General features: G+C 40.7%; 2 protein-coding genes across 16 annotated transcripts in view, besides 3 other annotated features; one reads left to right on the plus strand and one right to left on the minus strand.

Moving 5' to 3' along the window:
* Nucleotides 1-2,199, minus strand: part of FBXW2 (F-box and WD repeat domain containing 2) — a 36,443-nt gene extending 34,244 nt beyond the window's left edge. For 4 of the 14 annotated variants that reach the window (XM_047423218.1, NM_001375889.1, XM_017014615.3 and 1 more), the window contains exons 1-2: nt 2,143-2,199; nt 1,932-2,040 (exon numbers count right to left, since the gene is read on the minus strand). Coding sequence is in view for 5 of the 14 variants with exons in the window: in XM_006717049.4 (XP_006717112.1) it covers nt 1,670-1,745 (76 nt within the window). In the remaining 9 variants the exon portion in view is untranslated. Of the gene's footprint in view, nt 1-1,669 lie in introns of all 14 variants that reach the window. The other 10 variants (XM_047423217.1, XM_047423214.1, XM_024447509.2 and 7 more) reach the window with 5 other exon arrangements.
* Nucleotides 1,900-2,530: an enhancer, noted in NCBI's record as "H3K27ac hESC enhancer chr9:123555395-123556025 (GRCh37/hg19 assembly coordinates)". NCBI's record gives its function as "activates a minimal SCP1, AML or CMV promoter by ChIP-STARR-seq in primed H9 embryonic stem cells {active_cell/tissue: H9 hESC(primed)}" and the evidence as "EXISTENCE:reporter gene assay evidence [ECO:0000049][PMID:30033119]".
* On the plus strand, nt 2,250-10,570 carry B3GALT9 (beta-1,3-galactosyltransferase 9). 2 transcript variants are annotated; one of them, NM_001386823.1, is made up of 3 exons: nt 2,250-2,705; nt 5,206-5,392; nt 7,358-10,570. In NM_001386823.1, the coding sequence occupies exons 2-3, from the start codon at nt 5,387-5,389 to the stop codon at nt 8,459-8,461; spliced, it is 1,110 nt and encodes a 369-aa protein (NP_001373752.1). In that variant the 5' UTR covers nt 2,250-2,705; nt 5,206-5,386; the 3' UTR covers nt 8,462-10,570. The 2 variants fall into 2 exon arrangements, 1 of the variants encoding a protein (NP_001373752.1); NR_172066.1 differs by lacking the exon at nt 5,206-5,392.
* Nucleotides 2,593-2,692: an enhancer, noted in NCBI's record as "active region_28894". NCBI's record gives its function as "activates an Ori minimal core promoter by ATAC-STARR-seq in GM12878 lymphoblastoid cells {active_cell/tissue: GM12878}" and the evidence as "EXISTENCE:reporter gene assay evidence [ECO:0000049][PMID:35858748]".
* Nucleotides 3,123-3,212: an enhancer, noted in NCBI's record as "active region_28895". NCBI's record gives its function as "activates an Ori minimal core promoter by ATAC-STARR-seq in GM12878 lymphoblastoid cells {active_cell/tissue: GM12878}" and the evidence as "EXISTENCE:reporter gene assay evidence [ECO:0000049][PMID:35858748]".
* Nucleotides 10,571-20,322: the final 9,752 nt, after the last annotated feature.

Here is a 20,322-nt window from a genome sequence, read left to right on the forward strand (position 1 = left end):
CAGGAAATGGGATTTCAATTCAACATGAGGAGCTTTTAAATCTCAGCGCTTTCCAACAATGGAATAGCTACCTCCAGAGTAGTGAGTTTCCCATTACCACGAACAGTCAAGGACAGTTGGACACAGAGGCAGAATGTGATAAATGAAAATACTTTGGAGGTTGGCCAGATGTTTTACTGATTCAGCCACTTCCTATGTGATTATGGGCATGTCCAACTAACTTTTAAGCTTCAGTTTTATCATCTGTAAAATGGAAGCCATCATCCAACTTGAAGGGTGAAACTCAGAAATATAGCAGGGACATGCTTAGCACAGTGTACAGTCTAGCGGGTAAAAACTCAAATGGTACTTTTTGTTAGTTTTACTACTATGAACACCTGGCAGTAAAGATTTCTGTGACACTAAGGGTGGAATGGACATGACCACTAACATCTCTTTTGACCCTATCATCTTATCACTAAGTTTCTCTTCAAAATACCTGGAAGAAAAACTCAAGGGCTCAAACTTACTAGGGGTTTAATTTTATAAAGAAGAGCACCTGTTTATTGGAGGCTCTAGTTTCCCAGTAGGTGCCTTATTCTACCCACATTCCCTGCTGTTTGGCCCCCTTACCCTACGTCCCTACCCCAGAGTTAACATTCAACTTGCCCTCTTGCCTTCAGTATCAATAATCACAAAGTGGGTCATGCAACAAAAAGACTCCTAAATTGGAAAATGAGAGCCTGGGTTTGGTCTCAGGTTCTGCCATTAACTCCCTATGTTACCTAGGCAACTCACATATTTATATTGGTTTTAAAGAAAAAGTACCACTGGTAAACATTATCTCATTTCATCTTCATAACCTCATGGAAGGTATCAGTAATGCCGCCCTTAACTAACATTAATGAGGAAATTTACGGCTCAAGAAGTGGAGTGGCCTTCCCAGAATGGCACAGGAAGTAGCAGGCTCAATATTTTGCCCAGTACCCATTCTCCCAAAACCTATACTCAGAGGTATTAGAGACAGGACCTTCTGGAAAACAGTGTAAATGTGTTTTCCCCTCCTCCTCTATCAGAACCTGGCCTAGTCAAGAGTGAAAGCAACATAATTGTTAGTGGTAGAGGGAAGGAGGCTTCATTTCCCCCTTTTCTTATCAAACAAAGAGCACAGAGGCGCTGAAAATGTATACACACCTATAAACTTACATATGCATAAAATGTATTCTGAATATTCAAGAAACTGATAACCCTGGTTGCCTCCAGAGAGAACTGGAGAGCTGCAGAATAGGAATGAGGGGTCCCTTTTTATTGTATACCTTTTAAAACTGAAAACCATGTTAAGTATAATATACTATCAAAAAATAGCCTTTAGTTTTAAGGTGAATTTTTTTAAAGCTTTGAAAGAATACAAATAATGTTTATAAAATATGTGTTCTGCAACTCCACTTGTTGCTGGGTGACCTTGGGCAAATCACTTCACCTGTCTCATGCCCTGTTTCCTCACTTGTAAAATACAGCCAAGAGCATTACCTACAAGGGTTTTTATGAGGGTTAAACAAGACAGTGCAAGTAAAGCGTTTAGCACAGTACTCGGCACGCTGTAAGCCTACAGTAAATGTCAGTTACCATTATTACTTAGCATTAATATTGTTATCTTTGCTTTACTTCAAGCAGCACCCCACATACACACCTGTTTTCATGGCATACCCACAATTATGGCGCAGTATAGCGCTTTGTACTTCATAAACCACCTCATCACACTTCATCGTCTTTCAAACGTTTGGTAGCCCTGGGACATCACTGTTAACTCATTTCGCAGCTAAGGAAATGGAGGCAGTAGGAGGCAGTAACTCCAAAACCCTGTTTTCCCGTCTCTAAAATCCAGATCCCATCAACCCATTCGTTGCTCCCAGGTCCCTTGCTCTCGGAATCGTGTTCCGCGCGGCACTGACCTGAGCGAGCGCCCCGGGGCCCGGGACCTCGCGCCGGGTTCACAGCTACTAGGCACGCTCGGACCGCCAGAGCCTTGCAGCGGCCGGGTCCGCTCCGCAGCCATGGCGCCTGCAGGGAAAGAAAAACAGCCAAGGCGCGGCGGGTCAGCAGAGCCGCGGGCGCCTAAGAGTCCCCTCCCCGACCGGCCCCGCCTCGCATACAGACCCGGACCTGCGGCCGCTGCTCCCGGTCCGCAGCCTCACAGGGGAGCGGCTTCCGGTGCTGCCTGCGTCATCTCCGCGCGTCCCTCAGCTCCGCGGCTCCCGGCGGAAGCGGCTGCACTTCCGGTCCCCGCCCGGAGGTGGGTGGTGGGAGGCTGGAGGCCGGGAGTAGGGGTGGGGAGAAGAGCGTCCCGGGAAGCTGAACGCGTGCCGCGCGGCCCTCACGGTGCTTAGGCTGGGTGCAACCTAGAACGGAGGTTCCTTTCGTACCGTACATCCAGGTTTGCACAGCGCGCTTATGTCCCTCCTCCAATCTGATCTTGCACCAGCTCTGCAGTAGTTTTTCTTATTATCCTCATTTTACGGAGGAGAGGGAGCTGTGGCTTAGAGAAGTTAAGAGACGTGTCCAAATTCATACAACCTGTTGGGCACCTCTTTATCCCGAACGCTGTTCTAGGGGATAGGGTTAGTGAACAAAAAACGCAAAAGCCCCTGACCGCCTGGGCCTTACATCTATTAGGAGGAGGAAGACAGATAAACTAAGGCTCGTGCAAAGGAGAAAAATAAAGCAAGGTAAGGAGGTTGTTGAATGAAAAGAGACAGTCAAGTGATGTAGATTTGAATGAATCACAACGTTTACACTCTGGCTGTGGCCCGGTTACTTAACCTCTCAGACTTTGCTTCATCTGCATAGCAATTATAGTGAGGTCCCCATCCGAAGGCTCTGAGGATTGAAGGAAATGAAGCATGCAAACCTTTTGGCGTCAAGAACTAAAACTGAGCTAAAAAATCCCACGCACTCTTTCTCAACATTTTTTGTGTACCATCTCACTCAGTTCCCACAACAACCCCACAAGCTAGTAACTATTATTAGGCCCCTTTTTAGAGATGGGGAAACTGAAATCAAAAGAGGTTTAGGCATCTTGCCTAAGGTCATAGTAAATGGCTGTCATAGGATTTCAACCCAAACCGACTTCAGAGCACAAGTTATCCTTTTTTTTTTTTTGAGGCAACGTATCACTCTGTCGCCCAGGCTGGAGTACAGTGACACGATCTTGGCTCACTGCAGCCTCGACTTCTCCAGGCTCAAGCGATCCTCCCACCTCAGCCTCCTGAGTAGAAGGGACCACAGGCGCGTGTCACCATGCCCAGCTAGTTGTGTGTGTGTGTGTGTGTGTGTGTGTGTGTGTGTGTGTGTATTTTTGTAGAGTCAGGGTTTCGCTATGTTACCCAGGCTGGTCTTGAACTCCTAGGCTCAAGTGATCCACCTGCCTGGGCCTCCCAAAAAGTGCTGGGATTACAGGGGTGAACCACAATGCCCAGCGCACAAGTTATCCTTGTTTCTCTGTAAGGGTTCCTAAGCCATACATGCATACACGCACATTCACATACATCTTATACCAACACTGTCCAATAAGCTTTTTGCCAGTGATGGAGTTGTTCTGTTGGTGCTGTCCAATAAGGCAGTCACTAGTCTCTTGTGGCTACTGAACATTTGAAAAGTACCTGATGTAAATGAACTAAATTCTTAATTTTATTTAATTTTAATTTAATAGCCACATGAGGCTAATGGCTACCATGCTTGATAGCACAGTCCAATAATATAGACAATAAGAGAGACACATATCCAGTAGATGGTAGAGCATGGCCAAGGTTCCAAGCATCCTGACTTCATTTAGGGTACTTGAAACATGGGAAATAAAAATTGATTATGTGGGGTGGAAGTCAACTACGGTGTCCTAAAAGTAAGGTCTCAAGAGAGCAAATTTGATTTGCTAAGCAACAGGATGTCACTCTAGACTTCTAAGTCAGAACGTGACTGATCACAGCATTATAAGACATTTAGGAAGACAGATATACAGATTGGATACTCTCTATGAAAGGGAAGGCAGTACCAGGGTAATCAAGAAAATCAAGCACCCATATCTCTTTGGAGCAAACATTCTCAACCCCAGTACAGTTTGATGAATCAAATTGAAAAGTCCAGATGGAGCTGCCCCAGAGATAATATTGTTTGGACCTCTCATAACAAAGAAACCAAATTGTGCAAATTTAAGCCCAGAGGGGATCCAGGAGCAAAATTCATGACTATAAAAAAATTTTTAAATTGCAAAGTGGACGTAATATTTAATTAAATACAAGACCTATTGAATTGTTAAATTCAGAATATGTAAAAATTCCCTTTCATTTGATATTTTTAGGTTAGATTTTTCCCACTTTGTAAAGATTTTCAAGATTGTATGATGGTTGCTGAGAAAACATAGCCAACTTTAAATATAAGAAGTTATTCCTGGCCAAATAATTACAAAAGCTGTTGTAAATGGCAGATAGGAAGATCAACATGTTGGATGTTGAAGGAAAGGACGAAATATAGCCTGGCATGAGAAAAGAATGCTCAGTATAATTGCTTGTGTGACAGGAACATGAAAATATGCTGAATGTTGTTTCTTTTCTCGAAATAAACTTGCTGGTAGAAATGATGTTTGGGATAATTCCTACACATGCATACTCCAGGAAAGGAGAAAACATCAAATGTTTAGTTTCTTCAATTCCGGCTAAAGTGGACTGTATGTTGTCTTCCATTTTGAGCTAAACTTGCCTGGGGAGGTAGTTTAGATGACTTAAAATTGATTTAGTAAAGTGCTTGCATAGCCAATACTAGGGATTCTGAATCCTTCCCAATGAGCCATACACCAGACCTCACCATATGATGTTTCTTTGGGAGAAAATAATGCACCCACTAGGGATGAAAAATCTTCCTCTATGTCTAGTACAGTTTTTGCATGTGTATGTACCAGGGAGCAGGCATTACTCCAGCTGTTTGGTTTCTTGAGATGCACTCCAAAAAAAAGTATAGGATATATCTACTTGTGCAATGATGCTATGGAGAAGTGATCTGGGTAACTGTTCTTTGAACTTCCACACACACTTTACCAGGAACTCAGCATAAAGACATGGGGTCAGTTTCATGAAGTACACAGGGTTGGAAGCATTTGAAGAGGTTTGCTTTGTCTGTTCTTTGTTCTGGATTCACTCTAGCTGTAACATGATCAGCACCCACTCTCCTATGCAGTCAGCAGGTATTCTAGGATAAAAGCTCAGGTTGATTGGCAAGAAACCTTATCCTCAAAAGTTGAGGCACAAAGTACTTTACTGCAATTGCTGTTAGACTAGAGTGATCCTGAGATGCGTTTGGGCATAATTGGCACCTGGACTCAATAATTTCTAAGACCCTGAAGTTGCTCACAGGCAACATGCAAGTAAGTTTCTTACAATCTTTAAAGCATTTGATATCTAGTAAAATAGGCTTTGAGGAAGCTGAAATTTTTTTCTATGTGTAAATGAGAAAATGGAAAGGAGTTCAGATTATAATTGCTGGGTTTTTTTTGTTTTGTTGTGTTTTTTGACTGTTTAAAGGACATGGGGGCCAGGTGCGGTGGCTCACGCCTGTCATCTCAGCACTTTGGGAGGCCGAGGCAAGCGGATCACCTGAGGTCAGGAGTTCAAGACCAGCCTAGCCAATATGGTGAAACTCCGTCTCTACTACAAATACAAAAATTAGCTGGGAGTGGTGGTGCATGCCTGTAATCCCAGCTACTTGGGAGGCTGAGGCAGGAAAATCACTTGAACCTGGGAGGCGGAGGTTGCAGTGAGCCAAGATCATGCCACTGCAGTCCAGCCTGCGCCACAGAGTGAGACTCTGTCTCAAAAATAAAGAGAAAGAGAGAGAGCAAGGAAGAAGGGAGGGAGGGAGGGAGGGGGAGACAGAGGGAAAGAGAGAAAGAAAGAGAAAGAAAGAAAAGAAAGAAAGAGAAAGAAAGAGATAAGTAAAGATAGGAATTGTGATTCTCCAATGGTTAAGAGCGAGCTTTGGGGCTGGGCACGGTGGCTCTCACCTGTAATCCCAGCACTTTGGAAGGCCGAGGCAGGTGGATCACCTGAGATCAGGAGTTTGAAACCAGCCTGGCCAACATTGCAAAACCCCATCTCTACTAAAAATACCAAAATTAGCCAGGCGTGGTGGCAGACGCCTGAAATCCCAGCTACTCAGGAGGCTGAGGCATGAGAATCCCTTGAACCCAGGAGGCAGAGGTTGCAGTGAGCCAAGATCGCACCACTGCACTCCAGCCTGGGTGACAGAGCGAGACTCCGTCTCAAAAAAAAAAAAAAAGAATGAGCTTTGGAATATGACAGATTTGAGTTCAAATCATGCCCTATCCCAACCTCTTACCCACTGTGATCCTGGGCAAATTACTAAACCATTAAGCTACTCAGATGCTCAGCTTAATTACGAAAATAACATATCTGAAAGGGATATTACCAGGGCTAAATGAATTAAGACACATAAAAGTGCTTATCGCAATGCCTGGCACAAAAGCAAGTGCATAATAGGAGGTAACAGTTATTATGGGAGGCTTTATTGATTGAAGATCCAATGAAAAGGGATTTAATTCATTTAATGTTCCCTGGCTCTGTTATACTACAATTCTGCACATGCCCTTTCAGACAGAAAGTTTCCATCTGTGTTGATGAGGTAGAGTAAGCTTGGCCTAGGTCTATCTTACATCTCTGAAGAGGTGCTATGCAGATAGCAGTAATCTGTCCATATTGATGGAAATGTCAGATAGATTAGGAGCCATTGTCAAAAGAAACTCTGATTCAGTATTAGATTAAATTGGAAAGTCATACTAGAAGAATGTAAATATTTGATAGTAGCCAGGGTGTCATGGCTAACAAAAGCAGCCACTTCATGGAAAAATAGCCCCTGACTTTTGTAATTAGAGAAGAAATGGATCCAGGTGTTCCCATTCAAGAAAGAACATCATGTATTTTCCTACAGGTTTTTATCACAGTGATACCACTTGTTAAGTTATATCCATGTGTCTGTGTCCAATTCTTCTTGGTAATCCCAATGTCCAAGACAAGTGCCTTGTATATAGTAAATAAGCTTTTATCCAAACAAGCAAGAAAACAACCAACTAACACTTTACTCAGTGTTCACTTTGTGCCAAATACTGGAATCAGCAGCACTGGAGAAGACAGAGACACGATGCCTGCTGTCCAGGAGACCATAATCTAGTGGAAGAAATAGATAATATATCACAATAAACACTTAAAATAGAGTGTACTGCTAAATGCTGTGAGAGGTCCGTATAGGGTTCAATGAGGGCAAAAACAGGAATAGAGGTGAAGCCTGAATGAACACGTGTCCTTTCCTTTTTTAGGTGACTTTCTGCAGACTTCGGACTCACCAGTGGTGTTTCATTCTATTTAATGTCATCCTATTTCATGCCTTGCTTTTTGGGACTGACTTTGTGGAGGAATACTTTCTGCATTCTTTGCCTTATATAGATGTGAAAGTTCTTGAAATTAAGAATAAGGCAAGAAAATTGAACATCGAACCCCTAAGAAGTAATCTCTCCAAATATTATGTCCTGAGCCAGTCAGAAATATGTAAAGGGAAGAACATTTTTTTGCTGTCTCTTATCTTCAGTAGCCCAGGAAATGGAACAAGACGGGACCTCATTAGGAAAACTTGGGGCAATGTGACCAGTGTCCAAGGGCATCCCATTCTCACACTGTTTGCTCTGGGAATGCCTGTTTCGGTAACTACCCAGAAAGAGATCAACAAAGAATCCTGTAAGAATAATGATATAATTGAAGGAATCTTCTTGGACAGTTCTGAGAACCAAACCCTGAAGATCATTGCAATGATACAGTGGGCTGTGGCTTTCTGCCCTAATGCCCTGTTCATTCTCAAGGTGGATGAAGAGACGTTTGTCAATCTACCAAGCTTGGTAGACTATCTTCTCAATCTGAAAGAACACCTAGAAGATATCTATGTAGGAAGAGTTCTTCATCAGGTTACACCCAATAGAGATCCTCAGAACAGAGACTTTGTCCCTCTTAGTGAGTACCCAGAAAAATACTACCCAGATTACTGCAGTGGTGAGGCCTTTATAATGTCCCAAGATGTGGCTCGAATGATGTATGTGGTTTTCAAAGAAGTACCCATGATGGTGCCAGCTGATGTGTTTGTAGGAATTTGTGCTAAGTTCATTGGCCTTATACCCATCCACAGCTCAAGGTTTTCTGGGAAAAGGCACATTAGATACAACAGATGTTGCTATAAGTTCATTTTTACATCCTCAGAAATTGCAGATCCTGAAATGCCCCTAGCATGGAAGGAAATTAATGATGGAAAAGAATGTACACTGTTTGAGACATCCTATGAGCTCATTTCCTGCAAACTTCTGACGTACCTTGACAGCTTTAAACGTTTTCACATGGGGACCATAAAAAACAATCTCATGTATTTTGCTGATTAGGATTTCTTTAATTTTCCTTATGAGTCTACTATTTTAAAGTTACCTTCTACCCTGTTATGGAAAGCATCCCTTCTTTCCCATGTTTTATGTAGGTTCTCTGAATCTTTAATTTTATTTGCAAAGGTACAAAATGTTTTCTGTGCTCTGGTGTGCTCAATTACTGAGATCTCAAATTTTTAAAAAATTTAAGTTGGTGTAGCATAATTCTTTTCAAAATGAAATATTTCTCTCAAAAGAGAGAACATTATGTTTCATTGTTTATTTAGTTTTCGTTTTTTTTTTTTCTTTTGAGACAGGGTCTGGCTCTGTCACCCAGGCTGGAGTGCAGTGGCGCAATCTCGACTCACTGCAACCTCCACCGCCTGGGCTCAAGGGATCCTCCCACCTCAGCCTTTTGAGTAGCTGAGACTATAGGCATGTGCCACCATACCCGGCTAATTTTTTTTTTTTTTTTTCGGAGACAGAGTCTTGCTCTGTCGCCCAGGCTGGAGTGCAATGGCACCATCTCTGTTCACTGCAACCTCTGCCTCCCAGGTTAAAGCAATTCTCCTGCCTCAGCCTCCCAAGTAGCTGGGATTACAGGTGCCTGCCACCACGCCTGGCTAATTTTTGGTATTTTTAGTAGAGGCGGGGTTTCACCATGTTGGCCAGGCTGGTCTCGAACTCCTGGCCTCAAGTGATCCACCCGCCTGGGCCTCCCAAAGTGCTGGGATTACAGGTGTGAGCCACCACGCCTGGCCTAATTTTTGTATTTTTTTATAGAGATGGGGGTTTCATGATGTTGCCCACGCTGGTCTTGAACTCCTGGGCTCAAGTGATCCTCCCACCTCAGCCTCCCAAAGTCCCAAAGTGTTGGGATTATAGGTGTGAGGAACCGTACCTGGCCAGTACACAATTCATTATAACTAAGTTTTTTTTTTTATAAACTGACTAGTAAAAATTATGTATATTTATGTTGTACAACATGTTTTGATATATGTATATGTTATAGAATGGCTAAATCAAGCTATTTAACACATGCATCACCTGACATACTTTTTTGTAGTGAGAACACTTAAAATCTACTCTACTAACAATTATCAGATATTGATATATTGCTGTTAATTGTCATGACCATGATGTATGATAGAGCTCTTGAACTTATTCCTCATGTCTAACAAAAATGTTGGATCTCTTGGCCATATCTGCCAAGTTTTCCCAACCCCCAGTCTCTGGTAACCTCCATTTACTCTCTGTTTCTATGAATTTGAGTTTTTTTACACTCCACATATAAGTGAGCTCATGTGCTTATTTGTCCTTCAATGCCTGGTTTATTTCATGTAACATAATGCACTCCAGGTTCATCCATGTTGTTGGAAATGACAGGATTTCTTTCATTTATAAGGCTGAATAGCATTTTATTGTGGATATATACCACATTTTCTTTATTCATGCACTGGTGGACACTTAGATAGATGCCACTAATCTTGTGAATAATGCTGCATTGAATGTGGGGAGTGCAGATATCTCTTTAACATACTGATTTAATATCTTTTGGATATATTTCCAGTAGCGGAATTGCTAGATTGTGTGGCAGTTCTATTTTTAATTTTGTGAGGAACCTCCATAATGGCTGTATTATTGGTTTACCATAATGGCTCATTGTGGTTTTACTTTGCATTTCCCTGATGATTAGTGGTATTGAGCATTTTTTTTTCATATACCTGTTGGCCATTTGTACTTCTTCTTTTGAGAAATGTCTATTTAGGGCCTTTGGTCATTTCTAAGTCAGGTTATTTGGGCAGGGCACAGTGGCTCATGGCTGTAATCCCAGCACTTTGGGAGGCCAAGGCAGGTGGGTCACCTGAGATGGGAATTCAAGAGCAGCCTGGCCAACAGGGTGAAACCCCGCCTCTACTAAACATACAAAAAATTAGCTGGACCCGGTGGTACGTGCCTGTAATCCCAGCTACGCGGGAGGCTGACACAGGAAAATCGCTTGAATCCAGGAGGTGGAGGTTGCAGTGAGCCGAGATCATGCCACTGCACTCCAGCCTGGGCAACAGTCTGAGACTCTATCTCAAAAAACAAAATAAAATAAAATAAATAAAGTGATTTGCTTTCATGCTATTGTGTTGTTTGAGTCCCTTATCTATTTGGATATTAACCCCAGAACAGATATATGGCTTGCAAATATTTTCTCCCATTCCATAGCTTATCTCTTCACTGATTGCTGCTTTTGATATGCACAAGCTTTATAGTTTGGTATTATCTCATTTGTCTATTTTAGCTTTTGTTGCCTATACTTAAGGGGTCATAGCCAAGAAAATCTTCGCCCAGACCAATGTCATGGAGCTTCCCCCACCTATGTTTTCTTCTAGTAGTTGTACAGGTCTTACATTTAAGGTCTTACATTTAAGTCTTTAATCCGTTGTGAGTTGATTTTTGTATATAGTGTGAGATGAGGGTATACTTTTATTATTCTGCAGGTAGATATCCATCCAGTTTTCCCAGCACCATTCATTGTAAAGACTATCTTTTTCCCATTCAGTGTTCTTGGCATCTTTATCAAAAATCAATTGACTATCAATGAATGAATTTATTTCTGGGCTCTCTATTGTGTTCCATTGGTCTGTGTGTCTATTTTTATAGTGTACATGCTGTTTAGATTACTGTAGCTTTGTAACAGATGTTCAAATCCAGTAGTATGATGCCTTCGGCTTTGTTATTTTTGCTCAAGATTGTTTTGGCTGTTCAAAGATTTTTGCATTTTCATATGAATATTAGGATTTTTTTTCTATTTCCATGAAAAATATCATTGGAGTTTTACTAGAGTTTGAATTGAATCTGTATGTGGCTTCAGGTAGCAGGGACATTTTAACATTAGTCCTTCCAATCCATGAACGTGGCATATCTTTTCTGTAATTTGTGTCATCTTCAATTTCTTTCATCAACATTTTACAGTTTTTATTACACAGATTTTTTTACCTCCTTATTTAAATTTACTCCTAAGTATTTTGGGTTTTTTTTCTTTTGATGCTACTATAAAAAGGATAGTTTTCTTTTTCAGATAGTACATTGTTAGAATATGAAAATGCTACTGATTTTCATAAGTTGATTTTTTTCCCTGCAACTTTACTGAATTTGGTTGTCAGTTCTAACAGTTTTTGTTTGTTTGTTTTTTGTTTTTGTTTTTGTTTTTGAGATGGAGTCTCGCTCTGTTGCCCAGGCTGGAGTGCAGTGGCACGATCTCGGCTCACTGCAACCTCCGCCTCCCAGGTTCAAGCAATTCCCCTGTCTCAGCCTCCTGAGTAGCTGGGACTACGGGCGCCCGCCACCACACCCGGCTAATTTTTGTATTTTTAGTAGAGACGGGGTTTCACCATATTGATCAGGCTAGTCTCAACCTCCTGACCTCAGGTGATCCGCCCACCTCAGCCTCCCAAAATGCTGGGATTACAGGCGTGAGCCACTATGCCCAGTGCAGTTCTAACAGTTTTTGATGGAGTCTTTAGGGTTTTCTCTTATAAGGTCATATTGTCAGTAAACAGTGACAGTTTCACTTCTTCCTTTCCTATTTGGAAATATATATATTTTTAATTTTTATATTATATATATATATATATTCAAGACAAGATCTCGCTCTGTTGCCCAGGCTGGAATGCAATGGCATGAACACAGCTCACCGCATCCTTGACCTCCCAAGTTCAATAGATCCTCTTGCCTCAGCCCCCCGAGTAGCTGAGAATACAGGTGTGCACCACCTCGCCCAGATAATTTTTGTATTTTTTACAGAGATGGGATCTTGCCATGTTGCCCAGGGTGGTCTTGAACTCCTGGCCTCAGTGATCCTCCTGCCTCAGCTTCCCAAAGTGTTGGGATTACAGGTGTGAGCTGCCACACCTGGCCTATTTGGCTAATTTTATTTCTTTTTCTTTCCTTTTTTTTTTTTTTTTTTTGAGATGGAGTCTCACTCTGTCGCCCAGGCTGGAGTGCAATGGCGTGATCTCAGCTCATCGCAACCTCCGCCTCCTGGGTTCAAGGGATTCTCCTGCCTCAGCCTCCCGAGTAGTTGGGATTACAGGCACCCATCACCACTCCCGGCTGATTTTTGTATTTTTAATAGAGAAGAGGTTTCACCATGTTGGCCAGGCTGGTCTCGAACTCCTGACCTCAGGTGATCCGTCTGCCTCGGCCTCCCAAAGTGCTGGGATTACAGGCATTAGCCACTGCACCCAGCCAATTTTATTTCTTTTTCTTGTCTATTTGCTCTGGCTAGGACTTCCAATACTATACTGAACAGAAGTGAGAGTGAGCATCCTTGTCTTGTTTCTGATTTTAGAGGAGAAGCTTTTAACTTTATTTTTCTGTTGAGAATGATGTTAGCTATGTGTTTGTCATGTGTGACTTTTATTGTGTTGAGGTACATTCTTTTAATACTTTATTTTTGAAAGTTTTTATCAGGAAAAAATGTTGAATTTTACCATATGCCTTTTTTGCATCTATTGAGATGCTCATATAATTTTGTCCCCTTCATTCTGTTAACGTAGTGTATCATCTTTATAGATTTGTGTATGTTGAGCTATCCTTGCATCCCTGGGATAAATCCCACTGGATTATGATGAATAATCCCTTTCATGTGCTGTTGAATTTAGTTTGCTAGTATTTTATTGAGGATTTTTGTACCTATGTTTATCAGGGATATTGGCTGGGATCTTGTTTATTTGTGGCTTGTAATTTTCTTTTCATGTAGTCTCTTTGTCTGGCTTTGCTATCAGGGTAATGCTGACCTCACAAAATGAGTTTGAAAGTATTCCCTCTTCTGTTTTGAGGGGAGAGTTTGAGAAGGATTGGTATTAATTCTTCTTTAAGTGTTTGGTAGATGGCTTCAGCAGTTGGTGGGAGATTTTTTATTGCTGATTCAATCTCTTTACTCTGTGCTGGTCGGTTCAGATTTTCCATTTCCTCATGATTTAGGATTGATAAGTTGTATGTGTCCAGGAATGTATCCATTTCTTCTAAGTTATCCATGTTGTTGTTGTATAATTGTTCATAGTTGTCTCTAAAAATTCTATTTTTTTTTTTTTTTTTTTTTTTTTGAGACGGAGTCTTGCTCTTTCGCCCAGGCTGGAGTGCTGGAGTGCAGTGGCGTTATCTTGGCTCATGGCAACCTCCACCTCCCAGGTTCAAGTGATTTTCCTGCCTCAGCCTCTCTAGTGTTGTGGGAATCAGGAGGACCAGAGAGACCTTGGGGTATATACAGGAGGATCTTTATTGAGTGCACTCAGACCCAGCAGACTTAACATCCAAAAACTAGGCCTGGAAAAAAGACAGCACTTGACTTTTATACACACTTCAAAAAGTGGGTGGGCTAGCTTGAAGCAGGCTTATAGTGGCATGAAAGCAAGGATACAGAGGCAGAACAAAGACAGTTAATCAAATTGTGACAGGTTCATAACTCAGGATTACACATGGCCGTTGTTATGCAGCCCAGATGTCTGTTATCTAGGTTTGCTCTAGTGCCTAGCACGGGCTTATCCATAACTTTCACTATGGTGCCCAGGTGGCTGTATCTCAGGCCTGCTCAGATGGTTTATGGCCTTCACTCCACTGCTTAGATAAAACAATACTTGAAGTTACTAGTTACAGAGAACAGGAATCTATAAACTCATACCATAAGAGAAAGGAAAATTTGTTTTTCTCCTCCTGATGTTGAGGGAGTGCTGGAAGAGTTCTTCGGGGCACATTAGATAGTATTAGCAAGACTTTTCCTGGGTCTGGGCTGTGCCTGTCGCTGCTGTGGGACAAGTCAGCCTAATACAGGAAAGCTTATTTCTCTCTCTTTTTTTTACATTTTACTTTTCTTTATTTCTTTAATTTCCCACCTCACTAGTAGCTGGGATTACAGGTGCGTGCCATCATGCCTGGCTAATTTTTTGTATTTTTAATAGAGATGGGGTTTCACCATGTTGGCCAGGCTAGTTTTGAACTGCTGACCTCAAGTGATCACCCGCCTCAGCCTCCCAAAGTGCTGGGATTATAGGCGTGAGCCACCATGCACAACCAATTCTTTATGTTTTTGTGTTATCAGTTTTAATATCTCTTTCATTTCTGATTCTGCTTGAGTCTTATCTCTATTTTTTTCTTATTTAGTCTACCTAAGGGTTTGTCAACTTTATCTTTTAAAAAAAAACAACTCTTAGTTTCATTAGTCTTTTGTGTCATTTTTCTGGTGTCTACTTTTTTAATTTCTGCCCTGATCTTTGTTATTTCCTTCCTTCTGCTACCTTAGTTTCTTCTTCTTCTTCTTGTTTTTTTTTTTTTGTTGTTGTTGTTTGTTTGTTTTTTAGACAGAGTTTCCCTCTTGTTGCCCAGGCTGGAGTGCAATGGCACAATCTCAGCTCACTGCAACCTCCACCTCCCAGGTTCAAGCAATTCTCCTGCCTCAGCCTCCCAAGTAGCTGAGATTACAGGCATGCGTCAGCACACCCAGCTAATTTTTATATTTTTAGTAGAGATGGGGTTTCGCCATGTTGATCAGGCTGGATAGTCTTGAACTCCTGATCTTGGGTGATCCATCCGCCTCGGCCTCCCAAAGTGCTGGTATTACAGGCGTGAGCCACTGTGCCTGGCCAGTTTGTTCTTTTATTTTTTATTTTTTATTTTGTTTAATTTTTTTGAGGCAGAGTCTCACTCTGTCACCCAGGCTGGAGTGCAATGGCACGATCTCAGCTCACTGCAAGCTCCGCCTCCCGGGTACCCGCCATTCTCCTGCCTCAGCCTCCCGAGCAGCTGGGACTACAGGCGCCCGCCACCATGCTCAGCTAATTTTTTGTGTATTTTTAGTAGAGATGGGGTTTCACTGTGTTAGCCAGGATGATCTCGATCTCCTGACCTCATGATCCACCCGCCTCGGCCTCCCAAAGTGCTGGGATTACAGGCATGAGCCACTGCACCCGGCCATTCTTCTTTCATAGTTTCCTTGAGATGTAATGTTAGGTTGTTAATTTGTGATATTTCTTTCCTTTTGATGTAGGCATTTAGTACCATGAACTTCCCTTTTAGAACTGCTTTTGATGTATCTTACAAGTCTTCATTTGTCACAAGATATTTTTAAATTTCCCTTTTAATTTATTTGACCCAACATTTGTTCAGGAGCATATTATTTTATTTCCAAGTATTTATTCATTTTCCTTGATTTCTCCTGTTACTGATGTCTAGTTTCGTACCAATATGGTCACAAAAGATACTTAATATGATTTCAATCTTCTTAAATTTTTAAAGACTTTTCTATGGGCTAACATGATGTATCCTGGATAATGTGATGTGTGTGCTTGAGAAGAATGTGTATTCTATTGCTTTTGGATATAATGTTTTGTATATTTCTGTTAGATCCATTTTGTCTAAAGTGTAGCTCAAGTCCAGTGTTTTCTTATTGATTTTCTGTTTGAATGATCTGTCTATTGTTAAAAATGAAGTATTGAATCCCTACTACTATTGTGTTATAGTCTCTCTACTATAGGCTTTGCTCTGTAATTACCCTGAGGCTTACATAAAACACCTTACTACAGGCTATTTTAAGTTGACAACAACTTAATTTTCATTTTAATGTCATACTCAAACTGTATGCTTTTATTCCCCCTCCTCTCATGTTTTATGCTTTTGATGCCACACTTCATACCTTTTTATAATTTGTATCCTTTAACCAGTTATTATAGCTTTAGTTGTTTTTAATAGTTTTGCATTTAATCTTTATACTATATACTTTAATCTTTATACTTTATACCAGAGATATAATTCATTGCCCACTGCCACTGCAGAAATAGAGAATTTGGATTTGACAATGTGCTTACTTTTTCCAGTGACTTTTATATTTTCATATGTTCTTATGTTACTGCTTAGCATCCTCTTCCTTCAGCTTGAAGAACTCCCTTTAGCATTTTTTGTAAGGCAGGCCTAGTGGTGACAGACTCTCTCAATTTTTGTTTAAGTCTTTATCACCCTTTCATTTTTGAAAGACAGGATTATTTGATATAGTATTCTTGGTCAGCAGGTTTGTTTTTTTTTTCCTTTTAGGATTTTGAATATACCATTCCATTCCTTTCTTGACTGCAAGGTTTCTGAAGATAAATCTGCTGATAGTCTTATATATGTTCCATTGTATGTGACAATTTGCTTTTTCCTTGCTGCTTTCAGCACTTTCACTTTGTCTTTAACTTTTGACAATTTGATTATGATGTGTCTTGATGTGGGTCTCTTTGGATTTATCATTTGCTGTACTTTGGGCTTCTTGGATCTGGCTTTTAATTTCCTTTCCTAGACTTGGAAAGTTTTCTGTCATTGTTTCTTTGAATATATTCTCTATGCTTTTCTTTTTCTCCCTCTCCTTCTTCTGGTACACTAACAATGCATAAGTTTTTCAATAGATGTTGTTCCATAAGTCTCTTAAATTATCTACATTCCTTAATTTTTTAATTTTTGCTCCCAGATTGAATGATTTCCAGTGACCTGTCTTCAAGTTCATTGGTCCTTTCTTCTGCTTGATCTGGTCTGCTGTTGAACCCCTCTATTGAATTTTTCAGTTTAGTTATAGTATTCTTCAGATTTGTAATTTCTGTTTGGTACTTTTTTATACTTTCTTTTTGTTGAAATTCCCAGTTTGTTCTTATATTGACCTCTTGACTTTGGAGAGCATCTTTATTACTATTATTATTATCATTATTATTATTATTATTATTATTGAGACAGAGTCCACTCTGTTGCCCAGGCTGAAGTGCAGTGGTATGATCTTGGCTCACTACAGCCTCCACCTCCTGGTTTCAAGTGATTCTTGTGCCTCGGCCTCCAAAGTAGCTGGGACTACAGTCATGTGCCACCACACCTGGCTATTTTTTTTCTATTTTTAGTAGAGATGGGTTTCCACCATGTTGGACAGGCTGGTCTCAAACTCCTGGCTTCAAGTCATCTACTCACCTCAGCTTCCCACAGTGCTAGGGTTACAGGCATGAGCCACTACTAGCAGCCTATCACCATTATTTTGAATTGCTGTCAGGTCAAACAATATCTCCCATTCGTTTGGGTTAGTTTCTGTAGAATTATCTTGCTCTTTTATTTGTTTCTTCATTTCCCTTGACTCTCTGTGTTGGTTTCTGTGCATTAGATAAGACAAATAACTCGTCCAGTATTGTGAGGCTGGCCTTATATAGGAGAAGAATCTCACCTATCTGTCCAGCCACCCGCCTTGGCCTCCCAAAGTGCTGGGATTACAGGTGTGAGCCACCATGTCCTGCCTACAGTATAAGTTCTTTCATGTTTTTGAAAGAAACTGGAACAAAAGATTTTATCATATTTTTTATATTCATAGGATTTTTCTCAAGTGTGAATCTGTTTATGTTTTTGAAGGTACCTGATATATCTGAATGCTTTCCTTATTCCTTACAAGGAACAGGTTTTCTATGCAGTTTGAGTTATTTCATGTATTTGACAGAAACTGGAAAGGCCACATTTTTTTAATGCTCATAGGATCCTTCTCCATTTTTAATCTATTCATGTGTTGGAAAGGAACTGGGATAATTAAATGCTTTCCTACATTCCTTTCCTTCATTGGATGTCTTTGTTTTTTTGTTTTTTGTTTTTGTTTTTTTTTTTGAGACAGAGTTTCACTCTGTCACCCAGGATAGAGTGCAGCGGCTCATTGCAGCCTTGAGCTCTTGGGCTCAAGCAGTCCTCTTGCCTCTGTCTTTTGGTTAGCTAGGACAACAGGTGTGTACCACCATGCCTGGCTGATTTTTCATTATTTTTGGAACAGATGAGGTCTCACTACGTTGCCCAGGCTGGTCTCGAACTCCTGTACTTAAGTGACCCTCCTGCCTCGGCCTCCCTGAGTGCTGGAATTAGAGGCATGAGCCACTGCACCTGGCCTCTATTGCACTTTTCATTGCATTCATTGTATTTTTTCAATTCCAGAATCTTTTTAATCCAACTGAATATATTTATTACAAGTGCATTGAGACTATACAGAATCATGGTTAAGAACACAGACTGTGTAGTCAGACTGCTTCGATTCAAAGCCCAGCTCTGCCCAGCTGTGTAACCTTGGGCAATTTTCTTAACCTCTCTGTGCAGTCATTGCCTCGACTGTGAAATGGGGTAAAAATAATATGTGGCTCATAGGGTTCTTAACGGAGTTCAATGAGTTAAAATATGTTCAGCAGTTAGAACTCATAGTAAGTACCATATATATTTATGCTATTATTTTCATGTTGCTACTTATCTGTCATACACAAAAGGTAATTTTTCCCCCTTTTTAACTGACATGTAATAATTATACATATTTATGAGATAAAGAATGATATTTTGACGCATGTATACAATGCATAATCAGCAAATGAGACTAGTTTCCGTATCTATCACCTGAAAAATTTGTCATTTCCTTGTGTTGGGAATGTTCAAAATTTTCTCTTCTAGATTTTGAACATACACAGTAAATTATTGTCAGTAATATTCACCCTACAGTGCTATATAGAACACTAACTTATTCCTCCTATCTCGTTGTAATTTTGTATCTGTTAACCAACCTCTCTATGTCCTTGCTTCCCAGCCTTTAATAACCATAATTCTTTTTCAATTCAATTTTTTTTTTTTTTGAGACCGAGTCTCGCTCTGTCGCCCAGGCTGGAGTGCAATGGCATGATCTCGGCTCACTGCAACCTCCACCTCCCAGGTTCAAGCAATTCTTCTGTCTCAGCCTCCTGAGTAGGTGGGATTACAGGCAGCTGCCATCATGCCCGGCTAATTTTTGTATTTTTGTAGAGATGGGGTTTCACCATGTTGCCCAGGCTGGTCTTGAACTCCTGACCTCAGGTGATCCACCCGCCTCAGCCTCCCAAAGTGCTGGGATTACAGGCATGAGCCACTGCGCCTGGCTCATAATTCTTCTATTTCTATAAGCTCAATTTTGTGCTCCTTCCCACAATTGAATGAGAACATGTGGTATTTATCTTTCTGTGCCTGAGTTATTTCACTTAACATAATGTCCTCCAGGCTAATCCATGTTGCTGAAAATGACAAGGATTTGTATCCTTTTTTATGGCTGAATAATATTTCACTGTGTATATATATATCACATTTTCCTTTTCCATTCATCTGTTAGTGGACATTTAGGTTGATTCCATATCTTAGCTATTGTGAATAGTGCTGCAATATACATGAGGGTGCAGGTATCCTTTTGATGTACTGATTTGATGTACATCAGTACATCAAATACCCAACAGCTGTAAATACCCAACAGCAGGATTGCTGGATCATATGGTAGTTCTATTTTTAGTTTTTTTCAGAACCTTTCAGACTATTTTCCATAATGGCTGTACTAATTTACTTCCTACGATAGTGCATTCCCTTTTTTTCTGCATCCTTGCTAGCATTTATTATTTTTTGTTCTTTTGATAATAGCCATTATAACTGGGGTGAGATGATATTTCATTATGGTTTTACTTTGCATTTCCTGGACGCTTATTGCAGTTCCTGAATTTCTGGATTTTTAAAAAATAATTTCAGTCTCTGTTAAATTTCTTATTTTGATCACTTCCCCCCAATTTCGTGAATTGTTTCTCTATATCTTCTTGCAGTTTGCTCAGCTCTCTTAAAAGAAATATTTTGAATTCTTTGTCAGGTAATTTGTTACCTTTGTTTCTTTGGGGTCAGCTACTGGGAGATGATTGTGTTCTTTGGTTGATGTTATGTCTCCTTGTTTTGTCATATTTCTTGTTGCTTTTATGGTAATGTATGCACATGAGATGGAACAGTCACCTCCTCCAGAATTTATAGGCTAGTTTCACTATGTAAAGATCTTCCCCTGTGTAGGGGTGGCAAGGGCACTTGCT

The sequence above is a fragment of the Homo sapiens genome, chromosome 9 (assembly GCF_000001405.40).
Source record: "Homo sapiens chromosome 9, GRCh38.p14 Primary Assembly".
Taxonomy (NCBI): Eukaryota; Metazoa; Chordata; class Mammalia; order Primates; family Hominidae; genus Homo; species Homo sapiens.